This window comes from Homo sapiens, chromosome 9 (assembly GCF_000001405.40).
Source record: "Homo sapiens chromosome 9, GRCh38.p14 Primary Assembly".
Lineage (NCBI taxonomy): Eukaryota > Metazoa > Chordata > Mammalia > Primates > Hominidae > Homo > Homo sapiens.
In genome coordinates, this window is record NC_000009.12 from 131,722,226 (window position 1) to 131,737,702 (window position 15,477).

Consider the following 15,477-nt stretch of genomic DNA (forward strand, 5'->3'; position numbering starts at 1 on the left):
CAGCGGTACCATGCCACCTAACAGGGCCTGCCAGGCTGGAAAATTCTTGGAGAGGGCCTTGATCTTGCTTTTGCCTAGATCGTCCTCTCTTTTCCCCTCCCCCAAGCCAGTGATACCTTCTCAAGAACGTGGCGATAGCCTGGAATCCTGCCAAACAGCTCTGGAGTAAGTGCCATCTGTGTTGTCAACTCAGAGAGAGTAAGTGCTGCTGATGGATCCAGGCAGAGCCCTCGGAGGGAAGCCAATGCAGAGCTTGAGAGTCTTTACTAACAGCCGACATGAGCCAAGCACTAACTACGCGCCAAGCTATATCACCACCAGGGGCTAGAGCTCAACTAGACATTTAGGCTCCCAGGGACTTCCATCGGCCCCTGATGGGAATGGGAGCTTGCCAGGGGACAGCAGGGGCCCAGTACAGCTGAAAGGCCCAGGTCCAAGATGACTGGGTCCCCATCCAGAGGTGCAGGATCTGCCCTGGATTAAAAGCTTCATGGGCTGGGCATGGTGGCTCCCACCTGTAATCCCAACACTTTGGGAGGCTGAGGCGGGAGGATTCCTTGAGCCCAGGAGTTTGAGGCTGCAGTGAGCCATGATCACACCACTGCACTCCAGCCTGGATAACAGAGCAAAACCCTATCTCTATTTAAAAAACAAAACAAACAAACAAACAAAAACAACGGGGCGGGGGGCAGGCATGGTGGCTCACGCCTGTAATCCCAGCACTTTGGGAGGCTGAGGCTGGCAGATCACTTGACATCAGGAGTTTGAGACCAGCCTAGCCAACATAGTGAAACCCTGTCTCTACTAAAAATATAACAATTAGCCAGGTGTGGTGGTACATGCCTGTAGCCCCAGCTACTCAGGATGCTGAGGCAGGAGAATCACTTGAACCCAGCAGACGGAGGCTGCAGTGAGCCGAGATCACACCATTGCACTTCAGCCTGGGTGACAGAGCGAGACTCCGTCTCAAATAAATAAATAAATAAATAAAAATTTTAAAAAGATATTTAAGATTAAATTATGTAATTATATAAACATTGAAAAAACTGTGGTAAAGTACACATAACATTTGCCATCTTAATCATTTTAAAGTGATTACCACTTATTACCACTTCAGTGGTAATAAGTAACATTCATAATGTGCCATCATCACCAGCAGCCATCTCCATAACTTTTCTACCTTGCAAAACTGAAATAGTCCCCATTCCTCCCTCCTTCCAGCCCCTGGCAGCCACCTCAGCGCCTTTCGGTTGCTATAATTTTGTCTAGCGTAGGCACCTCACGGTCTAGTGGAATCATATGGTACTTGTCTTTTTGTGACTAGCTTATTTTACTTAGCATAATGTCCTCAAGGTTCATCCACACTGGAACATGTCAGAATGTCCTTCCTTTTTAAGGCTGAATAATATTCCATGTATGAACAGCCCACGTTTTCTTTATCCATTCACCCATCAGTGGACACCTGGGTCACTTCCATCTTTTGGCTGTTGTGAATGATGCTGCTACAGAGATGGTACACAAAGGTCTCCTCGAGTCCCTGCTTTCCCTTCTTTTGCGTACACACCCATAGGTATATACTTTGCTGGATCATGTGGTAGTTCTATTTTTAGTTTTTTGGCGAGCTGCCATACTGTTTTCCACAGTGGCTGCACCATTTTACAGTCCTGCCAACAGCGCACAAGTGTTCAGATTCCCCCACATTCTCCACAACACTTATTTTCTGTGGGGTGTTTTTGTTGTGGTGGCAGTGATTGTTGCTGTGGAAAGAGTTTGACTGCTTTATTATATTTTGCCATTAATATTTTATAAAAAGTAGTGAAAATGAGAAAATGGAATAGTTGATACCAGTGAAAAACACAGGTTTCATAAAATACTACTGCCGAGAGAAGACAGAGGTGAGTGGCCATGCCAAAGCTGTAGATCTTCATCCTCACTCAGGTAACTCATCGGACTGTGTGAGTGTCCGGCTGACAGTGTATTGTTAAGATACAGGTTTGATATTCAATTTTCAGACATGCTTTCAGGAAGGCCATATACACATACGAAGTAGCAGACTGCCCATAGGGTTCATGGGAAAAAAGTCCACTCGGCCGGGCACGGTGGCTCACGCCTGTAATCCCAGCACTTTGGGAGGCCGAGGCAGGTGGATCACGAGGCCAGGAGATTGAGACCATCCTGGCTAACACGGTGAAACCCTGTGTCTACCAAAAATACAAAAAATTAGCTGGGCGTGGTGGCGGGCGCCTGTAGTCCCAGCTACTCGGGAGGCTGAGGCAGAAGAATGGCGTGAACCCGGGAGGCGGAGCTTGCAGTGAGCCGAGATCACGCCACTGCACTCCAGCCTGGGCGACTGAGCGAGATTCCGGCTCAGAAAAAAAAAAGTCCACTCCTGTCCTGAAACACCAGGATTGTTATTTTCAGCATCCACGGCCTGGTAAATCCAAGGAAGGCTAAAGATGATTAAGGAACTTAGAAAGAAAGCCTACAGCAACTCTGATGGATGAAATGAGTTCTGACCAGCAATACTGAAATCTGCCACAGGAAATGTCAAGGTCCCCCCTAAAGATCTTGTGATTCTGTTCTCCCTTGTTGCAGAAAGACGGCCTCATCCTCCCAAGAGACACACAGATATTGGCAAACCCTGTTTAAAAACAGCAGCCACAGTCTGTTAATTCCATCTGCCTTGTGCTTACCCATTTATCATAAAGGATATTACAAAGGACACAGATGAAGAGCTGCACTGGGCAGGGCCTGTGAGAAGGGGCACGGAGCCTCCACATCCTCCCCAGCTGTGCTACCTGTTCAGCTATCTGCAAGCTCTATTTTCTGAGTTTTTGAAAACAGCCATCCTCATGGGTGTGAGCTGGTATCTCCCTGTGGTAGGTAGGTATGTACTTAGGTATGTATGTATGTACGTATATATATGTATGTATGAATGAATGAGATGGGGGTCTCACTATTTTGCCCAGGCTGTAGTGCAGTGGCTGTTCACAGGTGTGATCCCAGGGCTGATCAGCACAGGAGTTTTGACCTGCTCCACTTCTACTCTGTGCCAGTTCACCCCTTGTTAAGCAACGTGGTAGTCCCAGAGGTTAACATATTGATGCTGAACTTAGTACAGACACCAGGTAGGCATGGTGCACTACAGCCCAGAACTCCTGGGCTCAAGCAATCCCCCTGCTTCAGTCCCCTCCTTAGTCCCTGAGTAGCTGGGACTACAGGCGCACACCACCATGCTCAGCTAATTTTCTTTTTCGGGGTCTCACTCTGTCACCCAGGCCAGAGCGCAGCAGCGCTATCAGAGCTCACTGCAGTCTTGACCTTGCGGGCTAAAGCAATCCTCCCACTTCAGCCTTCTGAGTAGCTGGGACTACAGGCACGCACCACTGCACCCAGCTCTGTTTGTAGTTTTGATTTGCACTTCCCTAATGATCAGTGATGTTGAGCACATTTTGATGTGTTTATTAGCCATTTGTATATCTCCTTTGGAGAAATGCCTATTCAAGCCCTTTGCCCATTTAAAAATTGGGTTGTGTTTTTTTTTTTTTTTTGAGACGGAGTCTTGCTCTGTCACCCAGGCTGGAGTGCAGTGGCGTGATCTCGGCTCACTGCAAGCTCCACCTCCCAGGTTCATGCCATTCTCCTGCCTCAGCCTCCCGAGTAGCTGGGACTACAGGCGCGTGCCACCATGCCCAGCTAATTTTTTGTATTTTTTAGTAGAGACGGGGTTTCACCATGTTAGCCAGGATGGTCTCAATCTCCTGACCTCGTGATTCACCCGCCTCAGCCTCCCAAAGTGCTGGGATTACAGGTGTGAGCCACTGCACCCGGCCAAAATTGGGTTGTTTTTTGTTGGTCCTGTGCCATCTTTGTCTATTTCTAGCAAACAGACAGATAGTCAGCCAAGGTCAAATTCTCACGCAGATAAGCAGTTATTATGTCAATGCAATAGAATACTACTCAGCAATAAAAAGGAATGAACCAGTGATAAAAAGGACAACTTGACGAGTCTCAAAGTCAGTACAGAGTAAAAGGCCGATTACACACTTTATGGTTGTACTTACACGGTATTCTGGAAAATGCAAATCTATAGGTATAGATAAAAAACAGATCAATGCTGGCCGGGCACAGTGGCTCACACCTGTAATCTCACCACTTTGGGAGGCTGAGGCGGGCAGATCACTTGAGGCCATGCATTCGAGACCATCCTGGCCAATGTGGTGAAACCCGTCTCTACTAAAAATACAAAAATTAGCCGGACGCGGTGGTGGATGCCTATAATCCCAGCTACTTGGGAGGCTGAAGCAGGAGAATCACCTGAGCCCAGGAGGCAGAGGTTGCAGTGAGCTGAGACGGCACTGCTGCACTCCAGCCTGGGGGACAGAGCGAGACTCTGTCTCAAGAAAAAAAAAAAGAAAGGAAGCAGATCCATGCTGCCAGGGTGGGAGAAGGGTATGACTGCAAAGGGGCGGCAAGAAGGCTTTTTCACTCAGGGTGATGGAATTGGCCTGTATTCTGAATGTGGTAGTGGTTATGCAAATCTACACGTGTTAAAACGCACAAAACTTTATACCCCACTAGCCTGGCAAACATAGGGAAACCTGTCTCTACAAAAAAAATTTTTTTAAATGAAAAGGGTGTGGTGGTACGCACCTGTAGTCCCAGCTACTCAAGAGGCTGAAATTGAAAGACTCCTTGAGCTCAGGAGGTCGAGGCTGCTGTGAGCCACGATGGTACCACTGCACTCTAGCCTGGGTGACAGTGTGACCCCATCACAAATGAAAAACAAAAAATACAACTGTATATCCCCAAAACATCAATTTTACTATACATAATTTTTTTTTAAACCTCACCCATAAGGGGAAGGTTCCCCCTTTTATCCATGCAGGTATTCCACCCAGCAGCTTACAAGCCCCATTTCACAAAATCCTTACCAAATTCTGGGAATGCATAATTACTGTTACTAGGGCTCAGACCTGACTGAACTAAGTCCTGATTGTTTCAGACAACAAAAATTCTATTTGATCTTTCCAAGACCCCGGGTATTTGCGAATTCTCACTTATCATATAGTAGTGGGAATTTACGGCTTGGCAGAAACATGTCCACACATAATGAATCTTTCTCCCTGGGGACAAGGTCCACAGAGTTTCCATCAGACTCCTGGGAGACCTATGATCTTAAAAAGCTCAGGAACCTCTGTTCCAGTTCAAGGCCCTCCAATTATAGAGTGGGGTTCAGAGGCCCAGGAAGGAATCCTGGCTTGCCCCAGAGGACATGGTGTGTCTGTGGCAGTGCTAAGCTGGTTCCCTCTTCATCACCCAAAGATGCCACAGGTCCAGGCATTTCTGGTGATCATGACTCACACGCTCCCCATGACTTTAGCCTACAGAATTTCCTCAGCAGTACGTGCATTTCTCCTGCCAAGCTGAGGCCAGGGAACTCCGCACCCCTGCAGCACAGGCAGTCCCTAGCCCGAGTCCCTGTAATCCAGGTCCCTAGCCCAATTCTTACTTGTCAAATATAAAAGCTTCATTCTACAACCTTGCATATTTAGGGTAATTAATAGAGAAAGCTCCTCATGAACAGAAAAAAAACAAGGACAGATCATGCAGAAAAGCATGCTTTTGATCTATGCCTTTGGTCTTCTGATGAGCTCAGAGAATTAATATTTGCAAGGCACTCTTGACAAGCTGAGGCAGAAGCACAAATTAGTGTGGTTATGCTAATTGAGAGGTTCTGTAGCTCCAGGACCAAATGATTACAGAAAGTGAAAAGGGTTGACTGGGCTTTGGTCTCTCTGCAAATAGCACTGTGCTTCATGCTAGCTGCACTGACAAATTTGCAAGGAGACTACACACATTTACTTTCACATACCCGAAATTCCCAGTGGAGCAGGGGTTAAGGAAGACTCAGAACACCAAAACAGCATTTCTGAATTTATCTTTACTGTGAAAGTTAATCAAGAAAGAAAAATAAAGGGTATGAAATCCCCCTTCTTGCAGTGCTCAATGCAACTTGTAAGTTACTTTGTACACGAGGACCTTGAATGTCTTGTGGTTTTTAACTGTCACAAATGCAACACTCTGTGATCATTTCACCTCCAGAGCTGAACGAAGATGATTTAATTAATCCCCGAAAGTCACCCCGCAAGGAGAAACTGGGGAGGTGTCCCTTGAGACAGGGCAAAAAATATACCTGTTGGTGTATCAGCCCTGCTGTGGCTCTGACATATACCACAGCCTGCAAGCACAGGCCCATTCCTTCCAGACAGACTCAAATTAAAATCAGGGCCTCCTGGTCTGCCTGCATGCACTGGGATATGTGTAGCTGAAATGAATTGCCCTCTACTCTTCCTACGAGTGATCACTTCAAAAGTTTATTACTTAATTGTAAAAACCTACTCCCTGGACTTCAGCTTTCTTAGAGAGAGAAAGAGAAAGAACAAACCAGCCTAAAAGGAAATACCTCAATAGTCAGGGACCTCCCCTTCTCTGTGAGTGCTGAGGTTTGAATTTTAGTTACCAGATTACCATTTTTAAAGAAATGGTCACTTTAGAGTAGAAGGCGACCTGAAGTAAGAACAAAAGCTAAGATTTATCGAGCACTTCTTATGTGTCCAGACTCTGATTAAATGCTTATGTACATCATCTCGTTTAATTCTCCCTCAATACCATAAGGTAGGTACTGTTAGGATTTTCCCCATTTTACAGATAAGGAAAAACTGAGAGTTAGACAAGACAGAGTGACATGCCCAAGATCCCACAACAATGACACAGGAGGGCTGGTATCTAAAGCCACAGCTAGAGGACCTGAAGCACATGCTCTCAGACACTGTTCTGTACTGGCTCACTGCACAGATGGAAAGACAGGGTTGGGGAGGGGCACTGATCCAGTGCATCAGTGCAGGCCCAGGGGCCATGAGGCAGGTCTCCCACCTCTCAGCTCAGGCTCATGCTGCCTCTAACACGGATGAGGGTGTGAGAGCCAAGATCAAAAGTCTCCTGTACACAACGCAGGTGGTGGCTGACTGTCAGTTCCCCAAGGGCACTGACGCCTCAGCCCTCTCAGTACCCTCTCCTCCCCTGGCAGGCTGCTTGACACTCAGTGACAGCCAGTGTTGGGTGGGTGGGTGGGTGGAACTACTTTAACTCGTAAGGGCCACTTCCTACCGTTGTGCCATCTGTGAAAGGTTTCTCCAAAGCAGATTCTCATGCAATATTTTCAGCAAATGTACTTTTTAAGCCACTTCAATAATGGAGAAACCAGGGGCTTCTTCATAAATCTGTAGGCAGATGTGGTGCCACCTTAACAGTCCTACAGAGAGGCTGGAAAGCCCCGGGGGAACCCCAGAGTACATTCCAACCCAAGGCAGTGGTGGTGCCGGCAAGTCAGCCCTAGACCCCAGGAAGGGGAGAGAAGTGAAACTCCAGTTCTCAGCAATACACAACCCACCCCTGGCGAGTCACTTCCCTCTTGCTGCCTCCCTTTCCTCAACTGTCAAATGGGCACAATACCTGCCATTGCTGACTCTTTATAAGAACAGAATTAATTAAATCACACACACACGTCTGAAGGTAAAGCTCCTAGCATCGTTCCCGGCACACAGGAAATAATAAATGTGAGCTGCCATCATCCTCATCTGGGAAAAATCTTGGGCAACTCCATACTTATGATAAGAAACAAATTGGCTGGGCGCAGTGGCTCACGCCTGTAATCCCAGCACTTTGGGAGGCCGAGGCGGGCAGATCACGAGGTCAGGAGATCGAGACCATCCTGGCTAACATGGTGAAACCCCGTTTCTACTAAAAATACAAAAAATTAGCCAGGCGAAGTGGTGGGCACCTGTAGTCCCAGCTACTCAGGAGGCTGAGGCAGGAGAATGGCGTGAACCCGGGAGGTGGAGCTTGCAGTGAGCCGAGACTGCATCACTGCACCCCAGCCTGGGCAACAGAGCGAGACTCCCTCTCAAAAAAAAAAAAAAAAAAAAAAAGAAACAAATTAACAAAGCCCAAAACAACAAAGAAACTAATGTGTACAAAAATGTTTCAAAAGCTATTTTGATGATTAGTTAAGTGCTATCCAACATTTACTGCCATTAAAAATCATCAACAAAACAAGCCTCAATAAGTCCACCCCACATACTGCAGTCTAGACTCCCAAAGAACCAGCCTTAGGCTGGGAGGTGGCTCACACCTGTAATCCCAGCACTTTGGGAGGCTGAGGCGGCGGATCACAAGGTCAGGAGTTCAAGACCAGCCTGGCCAAAGAGACCAGCCTGGTCAACATGGTGAAACCCCATCTCTACTAAAAATACAAAAATTAGCCGGGCGTGGTGGCGGGCGCCTGTCATCCCAGCTACTTGGGAGGCTGAGGCAGAAGAATTGCTTGAACCTGGGAGGGGGAGGTTGCAGTGAGCCGAGATCACCCCATTGCACTCCAGCCTGGGCAACAGCAGAGTGAGACTCCATCTCAAAAAAAAAAAAAAAAAAAAAGAAGAAGAACCAGCATTAGAAAGGGCTCCGGGGTGGGTTTATCCACCCTACCAAATTACAACAAAGGCACCTGAGGCTCAGGAGATTAAGCAATTTGCCCACGGTCACCCAGCCAGAAGCAAGGCTTCCGCAGCCCCCTGTGAGCTCCAGCAGGACAGTCAGGAGGAGAGCTGTCTTCTGAAGGAATCCTCAGGATGATGGGGTGTCCTGTTAGTGCAGCAGCTGCCTCTGTGGCAGAGGGGTCCCTGGAAACATGAAGGCTCATTTTCACCCAAGTCACACAGCCAAGAGAATAATATCAGAATCAATAAAAATATAGATGCATGGGGAATAGTCAGATGGGCTTTAGTCCTAACTTTGCCCCAACTCAGTATATGACTATGTGCAAATGTTAACTCTTTCAGGTCTCAAAGAAAAGCTCTGTGTCTTAGTCTCCTCCTCTGTAGGATGAGAACAGTTAACAGTACCTTTCTCCTATTGTAAGGATTAAATGCAACCACAAGTGTAAAATATACAGAAGCGAGCCTGGTACAGCACGTGGTAAGTGCCTAATGAACATCAGCTACTACTATTATTTGTATTTATTATTGAAAGGAGGGGTTGAGAGTAGCCAATTCCATGACTCATGAACAATCATCCATCTATTTATTCAGAACCATCACTTGAAGGAGGATGGGCGCATGTGATAACCAGCAAATAAATACAACCACTGTTTCCAACCAGGGGTTTTGTTTGTTTGCTCGTTTGGGGTCAGCTAAGTGGCTATTTAACACGGTCACATTCCACTGGATGTCAGCTGTCCTCTCTTCTCATTCCATGTCCTTCCTTCTCTCAGTTACTGTCAGTGTCACACTCCTGCTCCGTTTTTAACAATACAGTGTGTGGCTGGGAATCGCATCTGTCAGGTCCACATCAGTGGCACAAATTTTAAAAGCTATAGAGCAAATGCCTGAAATCCGCCCCTCTGAACCCAGCCCTGGGCAAACCACACAGCATCCTGTGCTCAGTGCTCCATTTCTACGCTTTAAAAGCACTGCAGAATCGCCTGATCACAAAACTTAATATGCAGTAAAGTCACTGTGTGGTTTGGGCAAGCCAGTGAAAAGCAAAGAGAAAGCTGCTGCTAAGGGACTGTGGGGACAGAAGTCTAAGCTGTTACAGGAGTCGTGGTGTTCCGGGAAGCAGCAGTCCAGACTGCAGGGTGGGACTTGGGTTCAGAGAATTGTCACCTGTCTTTCAAACTACAGCCTGGGAGAAGAAAGTGGGAGAAAGGAATTGTGACCAGCAGACAGCAGATTTCTAATAAATTCAGATGAACCTCCCCCCCTGTACCTTAGCTCACAGAGGAGGGGGAAGTAGCAAGAAAATACTGCCCATGCCTCTTGACAAAGAAGGAAGGGGGTGCCAGAGGCACACCAACAGCCTGCACCCCAGCCCTAGACAGCACACGCTGCACAGTCATCCTGGGAAAAGAGAGTAATGCTGCAGGAAGCCAGTCCTAAATCACATTCAAAGGCCAACTGAAAAAAAAAAAAATAACAAGTAGGGACAGGGATTCCTGGGATGGTGCTCATTATGGGTGTCAGGCTGAGTAGAGCTGGCACAGGCCTTGGTTTGTAAACACAGGGCAGAACGAGCATTACCTAAGAGCGCTTTGCTCCTGCACATCCCAAAGAACCAGGCAGTCACTACAAGTGGAAGCTCAAAGAACATGCACTCAAGTGGAAGCTCAAAGAACGTGCACTCAAGTGGAAGCTCAAAGAACGTGCACTGACCAATGGATGCGGCATCAGAACCGAGTGGCGGCTCAGCCTTCACGGTGTCCTGGCGTTCTCCCAGTGGTGTTCTGGGAATTTGATCCTAACCTCATCATTAGTGTTCAGAGGACTACAGGAAAACACAGAACCCCCAACTAACTGCACACCACTGATCAGATATTGGTCCTACTAATGTACCAAGAAACATCCTAATTGGCAATTTGAAACCACAATAAGCTACGTCTAAAGATAATTTGAGACTTGGAACCAGAAACTAAAATTCATTCTATGATAATATTAACTAAATTCACTCATTCTTTTAGTAAGTATTTACTGAGCACCTATTGCGTTCAAGGCACCGTAATGGCACCGCAGTGGTAGACACACTCCCTCACGGAGCTAATCATCTGTTTAACATTTCACTTGTTGATTTTTTAACTTGCAGAAAGGAAACTGGGGCTTTGATTTTGAATGAGTGAAACATCATTCTACTCAAGCATTGATCTGGGGCATTTCCATGGAATTTACTATATGTTAGAGGAAGAGAAGGCACAAAGAGCCCAGAGGAAGTTGATTTTGGTAGAGGCAGCTGTGAGAGCATCGAGGAAGTGGGTTTTCACATTGTGTTTGGGGTGGAGGGTCCAAGGAGGAGCCTCGGCCACAGCTAAGCAGGAAGGACTGCATTCAAAGAGGCTTCCCCATTAGTGGTTACCTAATGGCCTTCTTATGTATAAAAAAGGGCCTGCAGTCACGCATGCGGGGCTTCAAACCTAGATGACGGGTTGATAGGTGCAGCAAACCGCCACGGCACATGTATACCTATGTAACAAACCTGAACGTTCAGCACATGTATTCCAGAACTTAAAATTTAAAAAAGCCGGGGCGGGGGCGGGGGGGGGGGTGGTGCGGGGTTGGCGGGGGCAGTGGCTACAGCTTAAAAACACAAACAGAGGAGCGCTCCTTTTGAGTCCCACTCCTTCCTGGCACTGATGGGGAAAATAAGCCCCAGGAAAGGGTAAGAATCACCCAAGGACACAACTAAGATGTTCTCAAACAGATGACCAGAAACTAAGATGACTGGCCTGCTGGATGACAGATCCCTTAATAATTCACAAACGGTGGGTTTTATTTATTTACTCATAAAACAGCCTTTGGGGCAAGACGGGTGACGAGTCAGAGGAACACCTGTCCCGGCGGCGAGGCGGCCGCGGGGTGGGGCAGGCGGTGGGTTGTCAGGCCTCTCCTCTTTCCAGAGCGTGATCTTATCCTGGCCATGGGGAACACGCTCAGCTGGCCTGAGGTAAGACCCAGCCTGGCACTCAAGGCAATCTCCAATCCGGGCTACTTTGGGAGACATTTTTCTGCAAGCTCACACATGACTCATCTCTACAGACCTCCTATAAGGTCTCTTGGCTACAAGGAATCCCATTCAAACCGCCTCTGCCAACAGCTGCTCTGGAGACCAGGAAACATTTGGGGTTGCTGTGGTTGATTTTTCTAAAAACACACTTAGCTGGCATTAGTGCTATTTCTTATCTCTCTACAGCACTGTTAATGTGACTAGTATTACGAGTATCAGACGCAGTCTAAAGACTGTAGTGAGCCTCCCTTAATTTCATTGGTAGATCTTTTTTTTCAAAGATCAGAAAAGAGATTGAGAAGCCTGAAGAATTAAGATGGAAAGCTGTGTCCCCAGCAACCAGGGAGGCTCTAACCAGTGCTCTATAAAGGCAAGAAAGGGGGCCGGTTCCCCATTCCACTTCTCCAGGGCATGACCTTGGGCAAACAACCAAATTTCCCTGGGCCTTAGCTGCCCTGAGGGGCAAAAGAGGGATACTCCGCCCTGCCCTCACCCCCTGGGCTGTTGTGAGGATGAAATGAAATGAGGTAGTCTATAAATGCATTCTGAAAACCACAGGAAATTGCAGAGATGTTCAAGATCGTTCTGATTCTACCCCTGGACTGTGGCCTCCAGGGACAGGTTCCTGCTGGCTCCCTGCCACGAGGCATCACTTGGTGTTTGCCAACAAGGAGGCACTCAGTAAGTGTTAAAACGGGTGAGTGAAAGGAGGCAGAGCAGGTGCCATCAAAATGTCTCATTGCTTGACTGAGTATACTTTGACGACAAAAATTCCTAACTATGGAGGAAAAAGGAAGTACAAATTTGACGAGTTTAAAATTGATCGAAATACAATGACTGCCAATCTAAGAGGACCTCTTTCTCAGGCCACAAAAATGAGTAGCCCTACATCATAGGGCCTGTACTCTTAGTATCTGTTCTGAGAAAATATATCATGACAAAAATGTGACCATGAAATGCAGTCATTATAAATTTCTTTTCGATTTACAATAAAAGCATCTTCACACATTTGAAACCGTAGCACACTGAGCGTGAGACACCTATTTATTCCATCTTCAGGCAGCGTGCTGGGCAAGCCTGTGGCCACTTTAGCAGGCCCAGTGAACTGCTCCAAGGTGACAGGAGCTACAGCGCTGGCAGGAGGGTCTGGTAAATGATGAAACTCCCAGCCAGCCTGTGGTTCGCTGGGAGCACAGAGAGGAAGGAAAGGGACTTTAAAAACATACATACAAAACTGCTTAACTTATGGCCAGCCCAGTTAGAAGGTATGGCCCAGGAGGCCGGGATCTTTGCTGTGTCCCAAGAACAAGAACAACTCCAGGCCCTCAGGAGGTTGCTCCGTGAGGCAGGCGATGAGTGAAGCCACTGAAGGAGGGAAGAAAGGAATGAGTGACTGAAACTGACACATGCAGTCCAAGGACCTTCTTCCCTTCAGCTGAGGAGGCCTTGGTCTGCTCCCACCCCAGGAGACTGGTCCCCTACCCCACTGCCTGTGCCCAGCTAAGTGGACCCATCCTCCGCCTCTCACCTTAAGTCCCATTTTGTCACAGGAGCACAGGAGTTTCCTGACCATCCCTCCCCACTGCAAGTCTGATCTCTTGCCACCTTCCTGCTCACCCTGTGACACACAGAGGATGCCTGTATTCAGGGCAGGCAGCACGACATCTGCTGAGTTCACCACTGAGTCCCCAGAGCCTTGTACGGAGCCTGATGGAGCCGGTGCTCAATCCCTGATGAATGAGGGATGGAGTAATGAGTCAATGAAGGGATGGGGCAAAGGTTTCAAAGTCCAGACAAAAACAAACAAACATGAATCATTTCTCCGAGGAGGGGATGCAAACGCAAATGTCAAAAGTCCAAGTGGGCCGTCGGAGGTGTGGCTGGCTGTGGGAGTGGTGAGGGGCTCTGTGGGAGTGTCCGCCACCTGACTCCTGCCCATAGCTGCCTTGTAGGCAGGAACAAGCGCTCAGAGTTACCAGAGATTCTCATTTTTCAAGGAAATCAGGAACCAGGCTTTTGAGATTTTTGAGTGACTTCCTGATTTTTCAATATTGACCATCAATTCTTTTGTTTTTTTCCTCAAGAACACGTGCGGATCCAACCCAACATATCTGTGGACTGAATCCAGCCCGCAGCTGCCAGTCTGTGCTTAAGCTCCAAAAACATGACGGTATCAACTCTCCTCGCTCAATGTCTTTATTGGAAGATATATGAGCAAAAAGAACCACAGTAACTGCTTGCACAACCAGAACCATGTTCATTTGTTCTCCAAAGCAGCCTCTAAACAGCTGCATACATCTCCCATCAGTCTTCCAGAACAAATCCCTCTGAGCTCCTAGGGAAGAGCCTCTTCTCCTCTGCAGGCCTGCCCACAAGCTCACCCTGGGAGCTCCCTAATCTGTCCAGCTCTCTTCTACTCCCTACCTCCTCGTCATCTCTAGAAGCACTGTAGAGTTTAGAAAGCCTCCCCTGCATCCCAGCTTGTTCCTGGCCCTCCAAATTCAACCTTTCTCCACCAGGCCTCACTTGACAGGCCCCCACCAGCCCAGCAAGTTGTCCCTGTGCCACCCTCTGGCCCAGACTGTCTTGATTCCCCATGGCACTTGGGACCCCCAAATGTGAGGCCTATGACCTTGTGTATTCTCTGAGGATATACATAGGTATGGATGAACCCCTCAAGGCCCTGCCCCAGCCAGGCACTGCTGCATGAGAAAGAAAATGTCCCAAAGAACAGCAATGACTCAAAAGATCTCCCCCAGGGGTTAAGGAGAGTCCTGCACACCAAGGAGGTATCAGGCAATGCAAGGGGGCGGGATGAGGAACAGGCCAGAGCTGCACACTATGCGGGATGTGAAGGGGTTTCCTGTTTACCCAAAAAACCCTGGATGCCTTAAGCACTGAGAACTAAAAACGCTGGTTCTTCTACTTTCAGGGAGAGGAGATTATGAACATATTTAAGCAACGTTTCTGTTGCTTTGAGATAACAAAACAGCAAAACTCCAATCACAACAATTGTTTGCCTGGTGTCAGGCTCTGCCACCACTTCACCTAAGGGCCTCTCCTCTGAATCAAATACTCCTCTGGAGACTGAATAGTGGGAAGTCCATTAAAAAAACTCCAACAGAAATCTAACAAAATGTCGTCTAAATGCAAAGGGAAGTTCACTGAGAATAGCCAGCAGAGACCACCAGGAAAGGTCATCCTCACTCCAGGCGCGCCCCAGTCTTCCTTGGCAGTTGTAATCTTTCACTATGATTCCTATGAACTGCAGCAAAAGACCTTCTGCAAGGAGGCTGGACTTCCAGCCAGCTCCACATCTGCAATCCCCAATCTGCAGGCGAGGTCCTGACCCTGGTCTTGCCAATCTCAGAACTCTTACTTTTTCTGCTTCTCACAAAATGCATCTTCCTCCCACACTTTCCGCAGCTCCTGGTCAGCCCCTTCCCCTCTCTCCTCTTTCTCCCTGTCTCCACCAGGTATATATCTCAGCCCTCTCTTCAGAGCCTAGCACAAACACTGTCCCCTCCAGTGTCTTCCTCATTCCCGCACTCATGACACCCCTCTCTCACCTGTGTCCATGGCAGCACGGTCGCTCGGTCTGGCAGCCTGGGTAGCTTAGAAACTGTGCTAGGTTAGACAAGCTTCTCTGGGAGCAGGCACTTTCATCTACAACCCCCTAGCAGAAGGCGGTGCCCAGAAAAGGCCCAAGGACAAACTATGCTGAAATGAACTGGCCTCAGGTCTTTCTCCCAAATAGCAGAGAACTCAAATGAAGAGTCATTTCATTCCCAGCGGTTTGGGCAGCTCATGGGATGACAGGCAACTTTTTCCTTTTTTTAAAAAAAGAGGCCCAGCGCGGTGGCTCAC

At 47.9% G+C, this 15,477-nt stretch overlaps 1 protein-coding gene and 1 pseudogene across 10 annotated transcripts in view, besides 9 other annotated features; both read right to left on the reverse strand.

Moving 5' to 3' along the window:
• The window catches only part of RAPGEF1 (Rap guanine nucleotide exchange factor 1), a 163,302-nt gene that overhangs the window by 145,451 nt on the left and 2,374 nt on the right, over positions 1-15,477 (reverse strand). For 3 of the 10 annotated variants that reach the window (XM_047423252.1, NM_005312.4, XM_017014633.2), the window contains exon 1: positions 15,180-15,222. The exons of the other annotated variants lie outside the window; for them this stretch is intronic. In XM_047423252.1, the coding sequence (XP_047279208.1) occupies positions 15,180-15,189 (10 nt within the window). In that variant the 5' untranslated portion in view covers positions 15,190-15,222. Of the gene's footprint in view, positions 1-15,179; positions 15,223-15,477 lie in introns of those variants that run through there. 10 annotated transcript variants of the gene reach the window in all.
• Positions 471-970: an enhancer, noted in NCBI's record as "H3K4me1 hESC enhancer chr9:134598083-134598582 (GRCh37/hg19 assembly coordinates)". NCBI's record gives its function as "activates a minimal SCP1, AML or CMV promoter by ChIP-STARR-seq in primed H9 embryonic stem cells {active_cell/tissue: H9 hESC(primed)}" and the evidence as "EXISTENCE:reporter gene assay evidence [ECO:0000049][PMID:30033119]".
• RN7SL328P (RNA, 7SL, cytoplasmic 328, pseudogene) lies at positions 2,943-3,242 on the reverse strand (annotated as a pseudogene).
• Positions 6,723-6,832: an enhancer, noted in NCBI's record as "active region_29210". NCBI's record gives its function as "activates an Ori minimal core promoter by ATAC-STARR-seq in GM12878 lymphoblastoid cells {active_cell/tissue: GM12878}" and the evidence as "EXISTENCE:reporter gene assay evidence [ECO:0000049][PMID:35858748]".
• Positions 7,103-7,482: an enhancer, noted in NCBI's record as "active region_29211". NCBI's record gives its function as "activates an Ori minimal core promoter by ATAC-STARR-seq in GM12878 lymphoblastoid cells {active_cell/tissue: GM12878}" and the evidence as "EXISTENCE:reporter gene assay evidence [ECO:0000049][PMID:35858748]".
• Positions 7,533-7,682: an enhancer, noted in NCBI's record as "active region_29212". NCBI's record gives its function as "activates an Ori minimal core promoter by ATAC-STARR-seq in GM12878 lymphoblastoid cells {active_cell/tissue: GM12878}" and the evidence as "EXISTENCE:reporter gene assay evidence [ECO:0000049][PMID:35858748]".
• Positions 10,931-10,980: a silencer, noted in NCBI's record as "silent region_20422". NCBI's record gives its function as "represses an Ori minimal core promoter by ATAC-STARR-seq in GM12878 lymphoblastoid cells {active_cell/tissue: GM12878}" and the evidence as "EXISTENCE:reporter gene assay evidence [ECO:0000049][PMID:35858748]".
• Positions 11,357-11,651: a silencer, noted in NCBI's record as "tiled region #1247; HepG2 Repressive DNase unmatched - State 8:EnhW, and K562 Repressive non-DNase unmatched - State 8:EnhW". NCBI's record gives its function as "represses a minimal TATA promoter and a strong SV40 promoter by Sharpr-MPRA in HepG2 and K562 cells {active_cell/tissue: HepG2 | K562}" and the evidence as "EXISTENCE:reporter gene assay evidence [ECO:0000049][PMID:27701403]".
• Positions 12,871-13,000: an enhancer, noted in NCBI's record as "active region_29213". NCBI's record gives its function as "activates an Ori minimal core promoter by ATAC-STARR-seq in GM12878 lymphoblastoid cells {active_cell/tissue: GM12878}" and the evidence as "EXISTENCE:reporter gene assay evidence [ECO:0000049][PMID:35858748]".
• Positions 13,297-13,591: an enhancer, noted in NCBI's record as "tiled region #10210; HepG2 Activating DNase matched - State 5:Enh". NCBI's record gives its function as "activates a minimal TATA promoter and a strong SV40 promoter by Sharpr-MPRA in HepG2 cells {active_cell/tissue: HepG2}" and the evidence as "EXISTENCE:reporter gene assay evidence [ECO:0000049][PMID:27701403]".
• Positions 13,297-13,591: a silencer, noted in NCBI's record as "tiled region #10210; K562 Repressive non-DNase unmatched - State 19:H4K20". NCBI's record gives its function as "represses a minimal TATA promoter and a strong SV40 promoter by Sharpr-MPRA in K562 cells {active_cell/tissue: K562}" and the evidence as "EXISTENCE:reporter gene assay evidence [ECO:0000049][PMID:27701403]".